Source organism: Homo sapiens, chromosome 6, assembly GCF_000001405.40.
Source record: "Homo sapiens chromosome 6, GRCh38.p14 Primary Assembly".
NCBI classification, from domain to species: Eukaryota; Metazoa; Chordata; class Mammalia; order Primates; family Hominidae; genus Homo; species Homo sapiens.
In genome coordinates, this window is record NC_000006.12 from 126,340,552 (window position 1) to 126,360,034 (window position 19,483).

Consider the following 19,483-nt stretch of genomic DNA (forward strand, 5'->3'; position numbering starts at 1 on the left):
ACCCTGGCATGTCAGTTCATATTCCTGGCGCTCAGTTGTACCGGGCCGCGCCGAAAAGTAAATATCTGGATCTTTTTAAAGGGAGACTGTTAGTCACATGAGCTTAACGTACAGTTACTGCTTACAGTTTTAAATATTGCTGTTTAGGAACACAATCTGGCACCGTGATTAATGTACTTGCAAAGGGTATGAAAGAATCACCCTTTAAAAAATAGATTTTGGAATTCAGTCTGGGTCATTTTTATTTAGCTATTGTAAAAGGCATTGCTCACATGCCTTTTAAGGGCCTCCCTTCTTGCCTCCCTCCCTGTCTCCTCTTTCCTCCCTTGGCTCCCTCCGTCTCTCCTCTATTTACGCATTTAACCAAACATTGCCTTATTTCCTCTAGGTGAGGGTGCTTACTAAAGGACCCTGATGGGAAAGTTTATTTGTAGGAAGAGTCCTCTCAACTGTTAATTCATTTCGCTAGACAAGTAATAGAACACCTAGTCAGTTTTTAAGCTAGACTACTAAAGCCTGCTTATCTGACCCATAATACCTGAAGCATAATGTTCTCCTAATAAGAAGCCCCAATCAAACCACTGTATAATAATGTTTCTGTCTTGAAATAAATTCAGTTTGTGTGTTGAATACCTGGAACACATATTCCTCTGGCACAATGAACACTATTTCTCTAGGTTTAAACCACTGGAGGCATGTTCGGTAGCTTGTCCTTGGCTCTTTGAGTAAAGGAGCCATTATAAATGGACACATAATTTCCAGGAGATCAAGGTACAGAATTGTGGATAATAAGAGCATACTGCATGAATCATCCTAGCTGTTCTTAAACGACATTGGTTTTTCTACCTCCTCTTTACTCTTTTGCTTCCTGGACTTCTCCACTGCCACCCCATCTGTTGCTTCCTTTTCTAAACTACTATAGAATTATCGCCCCTTTCCCCTTATTTGGTCTCTGAAGCCAAAACACAACAAAAACACATTTTCCCCCAGAAAAGTATTACTTCTATCTTCTGCCCTTATTTTTGTTACTTTCTTAAATCTTGTAAGAAGAGGCAATACAGGCTGTCTTGTGCCCCGACCCCAATTAACTATCCCATGCTGGTGATAGAGGTGGCACAAATGAACGGAATTCAAATGAAATTCACTTGCAAAACATTTTTACGTAGTATATTATGGAGCTTTCACTGGGGCTTCTAAATGGAGGGAGAGGAAATGTACCTGATCAAAGATATCCAAGAGACCACTAGCTGGTGCAAATGGCTTAGTGGAAATTCCTCAGGTAGTCAGCATCCTCCCACATCTACCCCTTTCTTCCTCCAAAGAACCCATGGACAGAGGGGCTCCATAGTGCGGTGGGATCCAGGTGGCATGGGAAAGTGGGTGAGTTGAAATTTCAAGCGGTTGCATTGATGGGGTATAGAATGTTCTTTTGGTCAGTAGCTTTTCCCAGGTAGTATGCTCGTCGTGTTTGGCTTTCATTAAACAGTTCGCCTTCACTGTCTTGAATGTGGCATGGATTACCCTGGTTTCTTTATAGCTTTCTGCTCACCTTTGACACTTCATATCTTACCCAGTTCAATGAGTTAGCAAAAAGTTCAATGAATTAGCATTAAACTACACCTGAAAGTTATTGCAAGGTTAAGTGAGAGGAACCTTAAAATTAAAGGGAGCAGCATTTGTAAAGAAAAGCTAGAATCATGAAAAGACCTAAGGTAAGATCAAATGAAATTATGTAGAAGTGTAATTCACTTGCATCCCACATCATCCACAAAGTTTTCTATAGTTAAAGCAGTTTGTTTTGATCTGCTCTTTTTTCTGAACTTGGACAGCAGTAAGAGTATACATCATACAGTTGAGCTATTGGGACTCTTAACACTGTTGTCTAGGAGTTTTCATATGCTGATGTTTCCTAGTGTGGTATGCAGCTTCTTGAGGAGAATGAATATCTCCTTTTCTGTCTCCCATTATCTTTAACACAGAATTAATCTACTTTTATGCTGCCTTTTGTACATGGTATTTCTTCTGCTTGAAGATGTCTTCACTCTACTTGGCAACCTACAATTTTTTCAAAATCCAGTTCAAATGTTACTTCAGTGACGCTTTCCTTAATGTCCTTAGAAAGGATCAATCTTATCTTCTTCTCCATCATCTATTGTCACACATTTGCCTTTTTCTTTATGGGTTTGATTCTGCCACTAGTCTGGGAACTTGAATTTGGAAATTTTTGTATTCCTGGTGTTTTGCATAATAGCTTCAACATTCTGAGTCTACAATTAATTTTGGAAATGCATGACAACTATGTGGATTGATGTCATTTCTAGCATTTTATTTATAATTTCTTTGTGTTATTTTATTATTCTTCACTGGCTTTTTGTTATTTTGTTTGTTTTATGCCTTATTTGATTGTTTAGCCCCAGGGATGGTACTAGGGAGAGAGTTAACATCTGTTAAATGTAAAGGAATGCTGTGCAAATATCTGGGTGCTTATAGTTCATGTAAAATTCAAAAGTGCTATGACAAAGGGAGGAGAAAGTCAGACTGGCCCAGTCTTTCTGTCAACTGAGACTGTCAAGAAGTATTTCTTTATAAATTTTCTTTTGATTTCTTTTTCAAGCAAGCAGATTTTTAAAAGTAACTTATTGATGGAATAGCTTACCTTTTTCAAGTTAGAATGCCTAGCTAAATACCCTAAAACTAACTTTTGTTCTGACCATTTTAATATAAGCCTTAGCGCATTGGAGTAGTACCACTCAATTAACTGTTTTATGACATAAATGTAGGTTGCTTGAAAAAATTTTTGTGAGATTTGAAAAAGTAATACTAATTTGTCTCAGTATCTGTATTGGGGTTTGCTAGAGGGACAGAACTAATAGGATAGATGTATATATGAAGTGGAGTTTATTAAGGAGTATTGACCCACACAGTCACAAGGTGAAGTCCCACAATAGGCCATCTGCAAGCTGAGGAGCAAGGAAGCCAGTCCCAGTCCCAGTCCCCAAACCTCAAAAGTAGGGAAGCCGACAGTGCAGCCTTCAGTCTGTGGTCGAAGGCCCTAGGGCCACTGGCAAATTAGTGGTGTAAGTCTAAGAGTCCAAAAGCTGAAGAACTTGGAGTCTGATGTTCAAAGGCAGGAAGCATCCAGCACGGGAGAGAGATGAAGGCTGGAAGACTCAGCAAGTCAAGTACTTTCACATTCTTCTGCCTGCTTTATTCTAGCCATGCTGGCAGCTGATTAGATGGTGCCCACCCAGATTGAGGGTGGGTCTGCCCAGTCCACTGACTCCAATATTATTTTCCTTTGGCAGCACCACCTACACACACACCCAGGAACAATACTTTTCATCCTTCAGTCAAGTTGACACTCAGTACTAACCATCACAGTATCCGTGGCTCATGGCCACGAAGAGGAAAGGGTATTCCATCTAGGTTAATGAATTAAGTCTTAAGACAGTGTGGTTTAATTGGGTCTGATTTAAAAAAAAATTTTTTTGCCTTATCTGGGGAGATGTAGTGGGGTCTTCATGCAATAATAATTATTAGCTGCCTACTATGTATTAAGCAATGTGTTAAGGGACACTGGGGATACAGTGTTGAAAAGACTAGGCATAATTCATATCCTTAGAGTACATTGAGGAAGACAGCTAAGTGAGAAATTACAGCATGATGTAGTCTATGCAGTGATAGAAAGTTCAGAATGCTATGGATCAATATAACCTTACATATTGGGGGAAGTTGGGCTTTTCAGAGAAGTCTATAAACAAGTAGGATGCCTAGAGGCAAGGTTGCATTTGAATTCTCAGAGAAATTCAAAAGGCCTAGTGTAGAACTGGAAGCTTAGAACAGTGAGAGGTGAAACTAGATTCCCAGTCAAGTGGGATTTAGTGTTAAGGAATTTGGAATTTATCCTGAGGGTATCTGGAAGCTATTTACCTTTAGAAGTAGAAAGAATAGATTAACAAATGAAATTGTGCCATATTATGGGGTGTTTTTGCTACCAAAATAAATGGGCTATCATTGAAAGTTTAAAAAATAATTGGCACAGTATAATGTAAATAATTGGAATTGGGATGCTTTACCTCAGAGTTCTTGTGAGAATCAATGAAGATAGTGCATCAAAAATGTACCAAAAGAATATCCACCTTTCATAGATTGTTCATATTGTTTAAATTCCCAAACCTCCGTTTTCTCCACATATCACTAGAACATTATTAAACACCTATATAACAATCTATTAAAGATTTCTGCATTATATAAAGCATTAAAACACCACATTACTAGTTATTTAACATTTAGTGAACTGTGGGAGAGTGTGCAGTACACAAGATAGTGAATGTTAAGTATTGTGTATAAATTGTTCTTCTTACTGCAAAGATCACTTGCCACCATGTAAATAACAAAATAAATCATGGTAAAGACACTATCTAATTGGATCTAAGTTGGTAGTGCCCTCAGGTACCTGGCAGAAGCAAAGGATGGGGAAGATATGTGCAATAATATAAATAAGAGTACTACATATGATTCTTGAGTGGAGATTGAGATACGACTTTAGCTCACTTCACATTTTCTTCTGCTTGGATTACATGTACTTTAACTTTTTTCCAAGGAATGTTCTTGTAGATTAGGGCTTTTGTTGGTTTGGATGGTGATTTTGAGTAAAATACTTAACAAAGTGTTATTTTATATGACATATCAGAGCTTGTTTATACATATATGTAATCCGATAATGTTGATATATATATTATCTGAAGATGAGTACATATGTTTTGCTTATATGTAGAGCTTGTTTCTGTAAAAATGTACAAGAAGGTGTCAGCTATGGTTGACTGGGGGATGAGATGGGGAATATACTTATTTTTGATAGTTTACTACCCTTTTGTAAACTTTGTTGTTTTATATTCTTATTTTAAAATAATTATAGACTCAAAAGGTGCAAAAATAGTACACGGTTTCCGTGTATCCTTTACCCAGCTTTCCACAATGCTGATATCTTACATAACTATATTTTTTTAATAGACTTTAAAATTTTTCAGTCTGCTTATATTACCTATTTTAAATAATTTTTTAAAAAGAGGCTCGAAGATTATTAATAGTAAGTATGGTTATTTTATGATAGTTGTTGGATGACAAATGACCTTTGTACATACACTTTTCAATTTAGCAAACTTAAACAATTTCAACTATTAACATGTTTTTTAATAAATATTTCAAATTAAATATATCTGTTTAAAAATCTTTGACCTCAGATTGTAGAATAATAGCCTAAAATGTAGTTGTTGATATGTTTTGATTTAAAATTTTCTGGAAATTTTAAATTATGTTATAAATTTAAATCCATTTGGAATCAGAAGCAGGAATATTTGTTACTAAGCGAATCTTACATACGTTTTGATATGTAATGATGCTTTACAAAATGGCCTTTGGTCTAGCCTTGCATAGCTTGTTTTATACATTGCAATGACGAAGTCTCTTTGCAGGGAATCTAAGATGGACTTATATTAGACTGAATTCTATGTAATTTTAAATAGAAGAGTTAATTTACTTAATCACAATGGTAAATAGTACAATACATTTTGAGATAACTAATTTTTAAAAATATTATTTCAATGCATCAGTATTTGAGCTTAAAAATCCACTTGGATTTTCTGTTTTAAAGGTCCATCTGAACTGTTTACTGTTTGTTCATCGATTAGCAGAAGAGTCCAGGACAAACGCTTGTGCGAGTAAATGTAGAGTCATTAACAAGGAGCATGTACTGGCCGCAGCAAAGGTAAAATCCAAATTTCTTTTCTCGAGCAAGAATTAAACTTCAAAAATAACACTCGGTTCATCACCTCTCCCTGATTTGTATACCTTACTCAGCTTTGTTGATTGAGTCGATATTTGGCCTTTTATGAATTAATGATTTTAATTAAGGAGTTATATTTCCTCCATATGTATATTATTAATTTCCAATGGTAATATTAATGGCCACTGCTTTAGAGGAAACATTCATGTTCCTACAATCTGCTAATCTGTAGACTGAGAAGATATATCACCTTGAAATTTATCAAAACTTACTTTCTTCTTGATCTTTTAAAATTATCCTAATTACCTCATTGTATTAGTCCATTTTCACACTGCTATAAAGAAATACCCAAGACTGGGTTATTTATAAAGGAAAGAGAACTCACTCACTATCAGGAGAGCAGCATGGGGAAAACCGCCCCCCATGATCTAATCACTTCCCTTCCTCCACATGGAGGGATTACAATGTGAGGTGAGATTTGGGTGTGGACAGAAAGCCAAACCATATCACCAATTATTTGATTTCTTTTAACTTTGTTTTGGCAGAGGTTGCAGTGTGCCAAGATCGCACCATTGCACTCTAGCCTGGGCAACAAGTGCGAAACTCCGTCTCAAAAAAAGGAAAAAAAAATCTCTTATAAGTAGAGATGATTGCTTTTTACTGTTATTTTTATATAATGTTAAGAATATGTTGCCTACGGTGCAGTTTTCCAGATATGTTCCTGAAAATGTTATTTCCAAATGATGTTAATCAAGGCCCTACCTCAGATGCTTCTGTTGTCAAATAAGTGTAGATAACCTTGCATACTATACTTCCTTGATTAGTCACAGTATTATTGTAGAACTTGTTTCTGTAAGAATATGTAAGAAACTGGCAACCACAGTTGACTGGGGATGATAGAGGAGGGAAACTTATTTTTGACAGTCTACCTCTTTGTAGACGTTTTTGTTTTAGATTTATTTTGAAATAAGGTACAAAAGATAGTTTAGAGTTCCCATGTACCCTGTATCCAGTTTCTCATAATCCTAATGTCTTAAATAACTATAGTCATGTAAAGTTATGAAAGGCTATGAGAGAAATATAGCAATAAGGAAACTTGTTGAACTCCATTTAGTATTTTGTAAGTTTGAGTACATAATATACTCAGCGTTTTGTAAATTCATTTGAGTATTCAAACTTTCTTTTGAAGTACCCATGATAATTATCTTGTAGGACAGAGAAGTACTAGTCTAGATACAGATTTATTTGATGGTCTTGTGGAAGCCTAGAAATGTGCATGTCTTGGCATTTTCTAGGGCCTTTAAATTATCTTGCAATTATAAACATTCCAACAAATTTCTACACTATTAAAGTCAATGTAAATATTTTTCTGTGGGAAAAACAAGGCTTAAGATATTGAAGAATATACACGTGTTTTTTACATTTAGGATTTTTATTAATAAACTGTAGGTTTATTTACTTAAAATAGTAGATAAGTTTTTTTTTAAAAAAAGAGATATTCTGACTAATACCGTCAGTCTTTTTACAACTAAAAATCTCCTTTTTTTATTTGTGCCACAGACTATTATTTTGAAAATAATCTACTTAACAGGTTGTTCAGCATAAGATGACTAGTTTTAGTCTCAAATGATTATAATTCCAGTCCAACTATAAGAAATTTAATGTTGCAGTGGATTTGTCCTAGTTTATAGTTGTGAAATGTCTGATTTATAATAGACTTTTTGAGTCTAATATAGACTCAAGAATATTGTTTAACTCTTTAATTGGTATTGTTTAACTCCTAATTTAGATAACTAAATTGTCTAAAAATTTCAAATTCGAAACCATTAATCTGGACACTTTTGGTTTACAATAGAAGAAATTAACATCTAGAGGTAACTAATAAAGGCAGGTTTTTAGAATCTAGGCATGTTTCATATTCATTGAGATAAGACTGTTTTTAGAGAAATCTAAGACTATAAGACAAAAGATTCCCTAATCACCTGGAAGGTGATTTCCAATTTGGAAAATTGGGTTTTATAAATTCAGTCTTGCATATTATGCACCCAGGACTATTTAACTTTTTGTTAAGGAATGATGTTTTATTTTTCATAGATATAATATGAATCTTATTTTTTTCCCTCTTACAGGTAATTCTAAAGAAGAGCAGAGGTTAGAAGTCAAAGAACATATTCTTGAAAGTTATGATGCATTCTTTTGGGTGGTAACAGATCATAAAGACATTTTTTACACATCAGTTAATATGGGATTATTAAATATTGGCTATAAGTGATGTGTGTGTTTGTATTTTTTTTCTGGCATGAAATATCTCAAGTAAATGCATAGGACTATTTAACCCTTTTATGGGAATTACTATTATTTTTATTTTAAATGTCCTCTAGTTCAGTTTGCTTTTGTTTTGTTGCTGCTGCAAATATTTTATGTATCAAAAATGAAATCTTACTATATTAAATACTTTGAAAATGTACTTCTTAGAATTAAGTTTATATATATTTAGATTTAGCCACAGTTAACTATGGAATTTAATCTCTGAAGAAAGGCAAATGCAGTCAAATCTAGGTGCACTTTCAATATTTTAACTTTTAATGTCTTTGCAAAGCAATGCAATCTACTTTTATATTATGCCAGTAGTAATGTTATAATTTCTCAGCTGGACAATTATAAACATCAGGTAGGTTTTTCAAAACCTATCTCCCTCCCAAAACCAAAATAATAGAAATTTGGAGCAAATGACTTATTTTCTTCAAGTCTCATGGATTTAATAGATAATTTTTCCCCCTAAATAAGATAATTTAGAAGTTTATTATGTATCATCAAATAGTTGTTACTTTTAACTTTTTATTTAGAAATAATTATAGATTTCAACATGTAGTTGCAAAGATAGTACAGAGAAGTCCCATGTACAGTACACCCAGTTCCCCCAATGGTTACATCTTACATAACTATAGTATAATATCAAAACCAGGAATTTCATATAGGTACAGTGTACATGTAGTTCTGTTGCCATTTTATGGTGTAGATTTGTTTAACCATTACTGTAATTAGAAATGTTTCATTACCAAAAAAGTCTCTTTGTGCTATCCTTTTACAATTAGACCTTGTTTAAAATGTGTCCTACCCTAGCACCATTCCTAAACCCTGGCAACCATGAACTATTCTCCGTCTAAAGTCTATACTTTTGTGATTTTGAGAATGTCATATGGATGGAATCATACAAGAGGTAACCTTTGGGCATTGGATTTTTTTCACTCAGTATATTGTCCTTGAGATCCATTTAAGTTGTTACATGTATCAATAGTTTGTTCCGTTTTATTACTGAGTAGTATTCTGTAGTATGGAATTACCACAGTTTGTATAACTATTCACTTAAATTGAGGGGCATTTTGGTTACTTACAGTTTTGGTTATTACAAATAAAATCGCTGTGAAGGGTAATCTGCAGGATTTTATATGGACATAAATTTTAATTTCCCTGGGAGTTTTATTCTGAGTTCATGGTAAGTATAGGCCTAATTTTTATTTATTTTTTTTAAAAGACTGAATCTTGCTGTGTCACTTAATCTGGAGTGCAGTGGTGTGATCATAGCACACTGCAGCCTCAAACTCCTGGGCTAAAGTTATCCTCCTTTAGCCTCCTGAGTAGCCTCCTTCTTGCACCTGGGATCACAGGTGCAAGCTGCTGTGTTCGGTTGGCTCAGGTTTAATTTTTTAAAAAGAAATGGCCAAATGATTTTCCAGGGTGGCTGTACCATTTTACATTTCCATTAGCAGTGTATGGGAAATCCACTTTCTTAATATTCTCACAAATATTTGGTAATGTTACTATTTTTTAGTTTAGCTGTTCTGGCAAGAATATGCAGCATTGTGGTTTTAATTTACATTTTCCTGATGGCTAATGTCTTAGTTTAGGCTGGTATAATGAAATACCATGCACTGGATAGCTTATAGATAACATAAATTTTTTTCTCACAGTTTTGATGGGCGGAAGGTCTGAGATCATGGTGCCAGCACAGTCAGGTTCTGGTGAGGGTCCTCTTCTGAGTTGCAGACTGCTAACTTCTCATTCTGTCCTCATACGGAGGAAAAAAGGCCAGAGAGCTCTCTGCCTCCTTTTAAAGGACATTAATCTCATTTATGACGACTTTATTCTCATGACCTAATTACCTCCCAAAGGTCGTTCCTCCTAATACCATCACACTGGTGATTAGATTTCAATGTAAGAATTTTGGGGGACACAAACATTTAGTCCATAATAGCTGATGATGAACATATTTTCGTGTGCTTATTTGCCATCTGTATATTGACTTATACATTTTTATACTTTAATGAGATATAAGGGAAAGAATACCTGTGTGGTCAGTCTTGAACAGAAAGCCTCATGGATTCATAGTTCAGCATAATATAGTAATACATATATGTTTCCAAATTAGTAATTTTTTAAAGCATTAATGTGAAAAAATTTAAATCTTATTTGTAATGTAAGTATACATGTTTAACATAAAATTATATTCTGAACAAAAATAGTTATAAATAAATAGGACTTCTCAAGAGAATGTAAATTTGAAAAAAAACAACTAGAATATGTAGTTAATGCTGAATAGTTCTTTAAATGTAATTAATATCAAAATGTTATTTTTCCTTCAAGAGCTGGACTAGGGAATTTTGGTTTTAAGACAGAACTAATGTGCTCAGAGGTAATGTCTTTTTTTTTTTAATGATGTTTTCCCCATATTTTCTATCTCTTATATAGTGATAGTTAATCCCACTGCCTTGTTCCTGAAACAGGCAAGGTGGAGGAGAAAGAGAGAGAGTGAGTGTGTGTGTGTGTGTGTGTGTGTAAGTGGAGTAGGATGAGGGAAGTTGCTAGAGTCAGTAGAAGTAGGTGATATTATCCGTGTGATACCACACAGCCAAAAGCCTCCTTTTGGGTGACTTTTGTGATACCTGTGTGATACCCAAAAGCCTCCTTTTGGGAGGCTTTCTTGTAGATAGGAATTTTGCTGTTTTGGTAAAAAATTATAACTCCAGCATTTTCATGTTGGGGAGTTAGAGACTGAACTAAACCAAAGTCAAAATGAGGATAGTAATAGTGATATGATAAATGTATTGGCTTGTTTTCTGTGTCGTCTGGGGTGTTTATATGCCACATACTTCCCTACCTGACTTAGAAAAGAAAGAGAATCTAGAATGTGGAGTTTATTAGAGGTGGGGGAAGATGTGTTTATTAGATTAACTGCATTTTTTTCTGGATGTTGAAGAGAGTCAGTGAGACCTTGAACAAGTAATTTAACTGGAGCCTTAGTTTCCCCATGTGTACATTTAGTAACTACTGTTTTTGGCCACATATTTTCCTTTTTGGGAAAATCAGGGTGACTTCAGTTTTGGCTTCATGGTTATGGGTGGTCTATATCTCAACTGTGGGTTTCATTTTTTTTTTTCTTTAAAATCCTCAACCTCATTTGAGGTCTTGATTGATGAACATGAGATGGGTATGAGACCTTAAGATGGATATTTAGTTCTTCTTCCTCAGTATTTTAATCTTGACAATCAATATAGCACCTTGTGGCTGTAGGTAAGTTTAATAACAGTATACTCCCTAGGTCAGTGGTTTTCAAGCTTTACTAAGCTTCAAAATCACCTGGAAGATTTGTTAAAATAAAGATTGCTCATGGGGATTCTGATTCTATTTAGGTGGGAGCTGAGAATCTGTATTTCTAGCAGGTAGCCAGGTGATGCTAGTGTTGCCATCCAGGGGCCATGCTTCCGAGAACAACTGTTCTAGATCACAGGTTGGCAATATTTTTGTAAATAAAGCTTTATTGGAACACAGGCACACATGTGCTGCTTATCTGTGGCTGTTTTCTTACTACAACTTAGGGTAGTGTTGAGTTGTTGCAGCAAATACTGTGTCCTGCAAGCCAAGTTACTTAGTATCTGACCCTTTACAGAAGAAGTTTGCTGACCCCTGTGTTAGATAATTCTTGCCCTAACCTCTGTATTTTGCTTTTACTTGAGTTGCCAAAATGGCAAAAGAGGGATTGATACTCTAGAGGCTTTTTATTTATATTAGCTACACTGAAGTATGACACTTCTGATTGAATTTAGTGAGGGATAGAGTTTTGAGATACTCCAGTTATCACCAGTAAAACAACTATTTACATTGTTTTCTTGAGATATTATCATCTCTAATCCATGTTGCTTGTATTTCCTTTTTGAAGGAATCTACCTTACTGAGACTTGGCATTTCCTGTTTCCAACTAGCTATAAGAGTTTTGTTTGGTTAGCATTTGTATGATATATATCTTCCATCATGATGCTTACAAACATCCTGCATCCTTTAAAGTGTGTCTCATAATCAGTGTATATTTGGGTTTTGTGTTTTCATCTTATCTGGTAGTCTTAGTAATTGGAATTTGCAGTCCATTTACATTTAATGTAATTACTGCTACATTTGGTTTCTATTATACATTTTACAATTTGCTGGTGTATGTGACCCAGCACCTTTTTCTTTCTGCTTTTATTTTCTTTTGAATTAACTTTTATGATTCATTTTATTCTTTATTACTCTAGTTATACATTCTTATACTAGGAATTATAACATGCATCATTGACTTGTTATATCCTCTATCAATCTGCTATTTATATAAACTTTTACTAAAGATTATAATCTGCACTGTTGACTATTTCTAGAACCTTAGAAGGCTTTAATGCCATTTACTTGCTGCCTTTTGATTATTTTAATTTTACATTTGTTAAACCAACCATATAGACACAAATGTATTACTAGTATGACTTGGTACTGTCACTACTAAGTGAATATTTATATTATCACATTTACCGTTTTCTTTGCTGATCATTTCTTTAACAATTTTATATTTCCCTATGGGATCTTTTTTTTTTTTTAACAACCCGAAGAACTCTCTTTACTATTTTCCTGTAGTAACTGTTTCTTGGTAGTACATTTCCTGTTTTCTTTTTTTTCTGATAGAATATTTCACTTTAAACTTGAAAGATATTTTCATCAGATAGGAAAGTCTAGATTGCCTATTATAGCAAATAATGTTAAAATGTCATTTTATGTCTTCAGGCTTCTCTCATATTTTTAGAAGTTAGGCTTATAGAGGGTAATATGTCTTTTTTAAAAAAATCTGTTGCTAAAGGTTTTTCTTTCTGGTTTTCAGCAATCTTGCTATGATTCATTTTCCTAGGATTTGTCTTTTTTGTTGTTGTTTCCCTTTTTATTCTGCTTGGGGTTCCTGCCTGAACTTTCTGATACCATAGGATGGTGTTTTTCTTCAGTTTGGGAGATTCTTGGCCATTCTCTTTTCATGTGTTGCTTCTGCCCCATTTTCTCTCTCCTGTTCGAGATTCTAATTATGTATTATTCTTAGATGTTTGATTATGTCACACATTATCTCTTACACTCTTCCATTTTTCCCATTGAATTTTTTCTCTGTCTTTTAGTTTGGCTATTTCTGTTGACTTGTCTTTTATTTCACTAATTTTCTCATCTGTTTCATCTGCTCTCAAACATCTAATGAGTTCTACATTTCAGATCATGTGTATGTGTATTTTTTTCCTTGCATGCCTACAGTTGATTAAAGATTTTTATTAATATTCTCTGAGGAAATTCTTAATTGTTTTATCTATCTTTTTCTTGTTTCTTAGACATATTAATTATATTTATTTTCACGTAATTATCAACTAATTCCAATATTTGGAGTATCTGTTTTTTTTTCTTGGCTTTTGATCATGTAGTACTGTCTTTTGGCATTACTAATAAATTTTTTATCAAATAATGGGTATTTTGTTAAATAAAAAAAAGATGTTTGTCTTCACAGAGGGATCATTTTTTCCCCACTATGCAGATAGATGGCTAAGCACCTTAATGTAATTAGTGACTGTACTAATTTCAGGGCTTAGTTGTATTTCTCATGAGACTCACTTGGCCTCTTTTTACCCCTGGCCCTCCAGGTGTTTTAACTGGGAGCTTGCTATGTTTTTTTGCAGCCCTTCTTCTGGCATGTACCGAACACTAATCTTTGACATGTGAGAATGCCAAAATCTCTGCTTTACTCTTCAGAGTCTTTCTATGTAGATATTAGGTTGTTGCAAAAGTAATTGCGATTTTTGCCACTGCAGTTACTTTTGTACCAACATAATATCTACGTACAAAAAACTGCAATTACTTTTGCACCCACCTAATACAAAAAATCTATAAATGTCCTGAAGGAAAAACTGACCTTGTAATTAAAAGTGCTAGGTCTCCATAAAAGCTCTACTATAGTAGCCTGGAGTCTCAACCTCCATTTGCCTAGAATTGGTAAATGTCTCCGTGGTAAAATCATCAGTAAACATCAGCTCACCTCTTTAAGAGTCTCCTTTTTGGAGTCTAGTCCCTCCATTTTTTGTCACTGTAGCAGATCTTTGCTCTTCAATTAAATGGTTTCTGTATATTATCTAGCTTTTTTAGTTTTCACTGGGAACACAGATTGGTGGTACGTATACTCCAACTAGGGTAACCAACTGTCCTGGTTTGCTCAACTGTTGCAATTTAATCCTGAAGGTCCTGCATCTCAGGAAACCCCTCAATCCTAAGCAAACTGGGACAGTTGGTCACTGTATTTCCAAACTACCTAGAAATAAAAGTAAGTTTAATTTAATATGAAACTAATATTCAGAAAGGTACTTTTAATAAAACCCATGTGGAAAGGAATTTTCACATTGAAATTGTGTTAAATTATTTACTTTAAAACTGTTATTGCCATTTTTTTCATGAATAAAAGTGTTCCAGGAGGCAAATACAAATAATTACTGTTTAGAAATTGTACCTACTACAGAGTTTAAAAGAACATTTAATTATTATCTTGTTAATCATTCCTAAGCAAAGAATTAGCAAACTCATTAGTTTTGTTTTTGAAATAGTTTTGAATGTCTTTTTCCTCCTAAAGTTGGAGTTTTTCTAAAATAAAATTTGAATTTTATTTTCCCACTTTTTAAAGGTATTTTTGACTCTAAAATGTTTACCTATCAACATCTCAGAAACTTGTGCTGTGTTCAGGTTGGCCAGTTTGTCTTATTTTAAGGCAATAACTCAATGCTCTGAGGGAGTCATAACTAATAGGTACTTTACAAAAGTGGTATAAAGGCACATTTTATGCTCTTGGGGACAGAAAGCTGTATTCCATAACCTGAAGACAGTAATTTGTTTCACTTGTAGACATGTATCTTGTTCTTCCTGTGTTATACTGATATTTTAAGTTTGTCCATTAAATAATGCTGCAAAGGTAGATGTGTTTCTTTAAAATATTAAGTTATAATTTTTTAAAAGGCTATGTTGAATATCAGGTACAAGACCCATTTTATTGGCAATTAACTAATCTGTCCTGTGAGAGAGTACTTGCGCTGTCTTAAATTATATATTATTTTTAACTTTTAATTTCATATTTCTTTGGTATTTTGCCAATCAGAATGGAAGCTCTTCTAGGACAAGAGCTTCTGATTCTTTAGTACTCAAAGTCCATGTGCAGATGTGTTATTCACAAAATAAGAGCTGGATTTTCAACTAGCAAGGCTTAATAGAGAGGGAGCATCAATTCTTCCAGTTATATGTAGCCAGTAGTAATACATCCATTACTTTACTTAACTGTAAGGATAACAATCCAAGGGAAAGAACATTGCTGCATGTTTTAAGAAATCTGGATGACTGTCTTGATGCTGTCACAAACTACACTTAGGCAAAGTAGGATGTTTCTCTCTATAAAAAATTAAGGATTTGAAAGAAATGGTTTCTAACACCTCTTCTAACTCTAAAAATAAAAAGACACTAGTTTTTGAGAAAGCTGACATGGATAATATCCTACTATTTGGATGCATCCAAGCCCTAACTCATGTTATCTTGAGTTTATAAACCACAATGTGATTATAACACTTCTTTTTGTTTGTTTTTGCATGCTGTGTGATTTTATTTATAAAAAGTTCAAGAGTAGGTGAAACTAATAGGTAGAGCTTTAAATCAGGATAAGGTTTTTCTTTGGGAAAGATGAAGACGGTAATGATTTGAAGGAGATACGGGACAGCGGGATTTGCTATGCTAGTAATATCAAAGATGCCAAAATAAATTTTTGAGACATTTAATCATTCCTAATTAAACCCCTTAGTAACCTGAGAATATAATTATGTTTTGTTAACAGTGGCTGAACTAATTTACATTCCCATCAATTGTGTATAAGCATTCCCTTTTCTTTGCAGCTTTGCCAGCATCTATTATTTGACTTTTTAATAATAGTTATTCTGATTGGTATGAGATAGTATCTCATTATGGTTTTGATTTGCATTTCTTTGATGATTAGTGATGATGAATACCTTTTCATATGTTCATTGGCCACTTGTATTTCTCCTGAGAAGTGTCTGTTCATGTTCTTTGCCCATTTTTTAATGGGGTTATTTGTTTTTTGGCTTGTTGGTTTAAGTTCTTTATAGAGTCTAGATATTAAACCTTTGTTAGATGTGTAGTTTGCACATATTTTCTCCCATTTCTCCCATTTCTGTAGGTTGTCTGTTTACTCTGTTTATAGTTTATTTGCTGTGCAGAAACTTTTTAGTTTTAATTAGGTCCCACTTGTCAATTTTTGTTGTTGTTGCCATTGCTTTTGGAGACTTAGCCCAAAATTCTTTGCCAAGGCCAATGTTGAGAAGGGTATTTCCTAGGCTGCTTCTATGATTCTTACAGTTTTAGATGATACATTTAAGTCTTTAGTCCATTTTGCTTAATTTTTTATATGGCGTAGGAGTGCAGTTTAATCTTTCTGCATATGGCTAGCCAGTTATCCCAGCACCATTTATTGAATGGGGGTGCTTTCTTCATTGCTTTTGTCAGCTTTGTTGAAGAGCAGATGGCTGTAGGTGTGCAGCTTTATTTCTGGGTTTTCTATTCTGTTCCATTGGTCTATGTGTCTGTTATTGTACCATTACCATGCTGTTTTGATTACTGTAGCCTTATAGTATAGTTTGGAATCACGTGGTATGATGCTTCCAGCTTTGTTCTTTTTGCTTAGGGTTGCTTTGGCTGTTTGTGTTCTTTTTGGTTCCATGTGAATTTTTTTTCTAATTCTGTGAAAGATGACATTGTTAGTTGTATAGGAATAGCATAGAATCTGTAAATTACTTTGGGCAGTATGGCCATTTTTATGACATGTATTCTTCTATGAGCATGGAACATTTTTCGATTTATTTGTGTTGTCTCTGATTTCTTTCAGCAATATTTCATAGTTCTTTTTTTTTTTTCTTTTGAGATGGAGTCTTGCTCTGTCGCCCAGCCTGTAGTGCAGTGGTGCAATTTCGGCTCACTGCAACCTCCACCTCCCAGGTTCAAGTGATTGTCCTGCCTCAGCCTCCCAAGTAGCAGAGACTACAGGCATGTGCCACCACACCTGGCTGATTTTAGTATTTTTAGTAGAGACGGGGTTTCACCATATCGGCCAGGCTGGTCTTGAACTCCTGACCTCATGATCCGCCTGCCGCAGCCTCCCAAAGTGCTGGAATTACAGGTGTGAGCCACCACGCCTGGCCAGTTCTTCTTATAGGATCTTTCACCTCTTTGGTTAGCTGTATTCCTAGGTATTACCATTTTTTTGTGGCTACCATAAATGGGATTGTCTTCTTCCATGACTTTCAGTTTGAATGTTATTGATTTATAGAATTGCTATTGAATTTTGTACATTGATTTTGTATTCTGAAACTTTGCTAAATTTGTTTGTCACTTATAGGAGCCTTTTGGTGGAGTCTTTAGGGTTTTCCAGGTATAGAATCATATCGTTAGTAAAGATATATTGCCTTTTCCTATTTGAATTCCTTTTCCTTCTTTCTTTTTCCTAAATTGCTCTGGTCAGGATTTCCAGTACTATGTTAAATAGGAGTGGTTAGATTGGGCATTCTTGTCTGGTTCCAGTTCTCAAGAGGAATAGTTCCACCTTCTGCCTATTCAGTATGATGTTGGCTATGGGTTTGTCATAGATAGCTATTGTTATTTTGGGGCATGCTCCTTAGATGGACTAGTCTGTTGAGGGTTTTTATCATGAAGAAGTGTTGGATTTTATTGAAAGCTTTTTCTGCGTTCCACTGAAATAATCATATGGTTTTTGCTTTTAATTCTGTTTGTGTAGTAAATCACATTATTGATGTACATATATTGAGTCAGTGTTGCATCCCAGGAATGAAGCCTCCTTGATTGTGATGTATTAACTTTTTGATGTGCTGCTGGATTTGGTTTGCTAGTATTTTGTTAAGGATTTTTGCATCTGTGTTCATCAGGAATAGTGGCCTGAAGTTTTCTTTTTTCATTGTGTCTCTGCTAGATTTTGGTATCAGACTGATGCTGGCTTCATTGAATGAGTTAGGGAGAAGCCCCTTCTCCTTGATTTTTTTGGAGTAGTTTCAGTAAAATTGGGACCTCCCAAGATTGAACCAGGAAGAACATGAAACCCTGAACAGACCAATAACAAGTTCCAAAATTTAATCATAAATGAAAAGAAAAATCCACCAGATGGATTCACAGGCAAATTCTTCTAGATGTACAATTTCATTAAGTTCTTCTCTTATTTTAGTTATTTCTTCTGCTTGCTTTGGGGTTGGTTTCACTTTTTTTTTTTCTTTTCTTTCCTAGTTCCTCTAGGTGCAAAGTTAGATAGTTAATCTGAGACCTTTCTAAGTTTTTGATGAAGGTGTTTAGCACTACAGAATTTCCTCTTAACACTGCTTTAGCTGCATCCCAGAGATTTGGGTAAGTTATATCCCTATTTTCATTAATTTCAAAAAATATTTTGATTTCTGCCTTAAATTCAATGTTCATCCAGGAGTTATTCAGGAAAAAGTTGTTAAGGTATTTGTGGAATTTCAAGATATCTTGATATTGATGTCTATTTTTATTGCACTGTGGTCTGAGAGTGTACTTGATATGATTTCTTTTCTTTTTTTTTTTAATTTATTGAGACTTTCTTTATGACAGCGTGTGGCCGATCTTAGAATATGTTCTGTGTGCAGATGAGAAGAATGTATATGCTGTGATTTTTGGGTAGGTTATTCTGTAGATGTCTGTTAGGTCAAATCAGTCAAGTGTTGAGTTTAAGTTCAAAATTTCTTTGTTAGTTTTCTGCTCCAGTGATCTGTCTAATGCTGTCAGTGAGGTGTTGAAGTCTCCCACTATTACTATGTGTCTGTCTAAGTTTTTTCCTAGGTCAAGAACTTGTTTTTTGAATCTGGGTGCCCTAATGTTGGGTGATTACATAATTAGGATAGTTATATCTTATTGTTGAATTGTTCTGTTTATCATTACATAATGCCTGTCTTTGTCCTTCCTAATAGTTAGTGGTTTAAATTGTTTTGTCTGATAACAAGAATAGCAACTCCTGCTTTTTTCTTTTCTTTTTTTTTTTTTTACATTTGCATGATAGAACTTTCTTTATCCCTTTATTTTGAGCCTGTGGGTGTTGTTACTTGTGAGATGGGCCTCTTGAAGACAGCAGATAGTTGGGTCTTGTCATTTTATCTGAATTGCAACTCTACCTTTTAAGTGGAATGTTTAGCCCATTTACATTCAGGCCTGGTATTGGTATGTGAAATTTTGATCCTATCATTGTGTTAGCTGGTTGTTAGGTAGACTTGATTGTGTAGGTGCTTTATATTGTCTGTGGGCTATGTG

At 34.5% G+C, this 19,483-nt stretch overlaps 1 protein-coding gene across 5 annotated transcripts in view; it reads left to right on the forward strand.

The window, feature by feature from the left end:
* The window catches only part of CENPW (centromere protein W), a 143,206-nt gene that overhangs the window by 437 nt on the left and 123,286 nt on the right, over positions 1-19,483 (forward strand). For 2 of the 5 annotated variants that reach the window (NM_001286524.2, NM_001012507.4), the window contains exons 2-3: positions 5,654-5,767; positions 7,915-8,324. In NM_001286524.2, coding sequence (NP_001273453.1) covers positions 5,654-5,767; positions 7,915-7,941 — 141 coding nt within the window. In that variant the 3' untranslated portion in view covers positions 7,942-8,324. Of the gene's footprint in view, positions 1-5,653; positions 5,772-7,914; positions 8,325-19,483 lie in introns of those variants that run through there. The other 3 variants (NM_001286525.2, NR_104462.2, XM_017010845.2) reach the window with 3 other exon arrangements.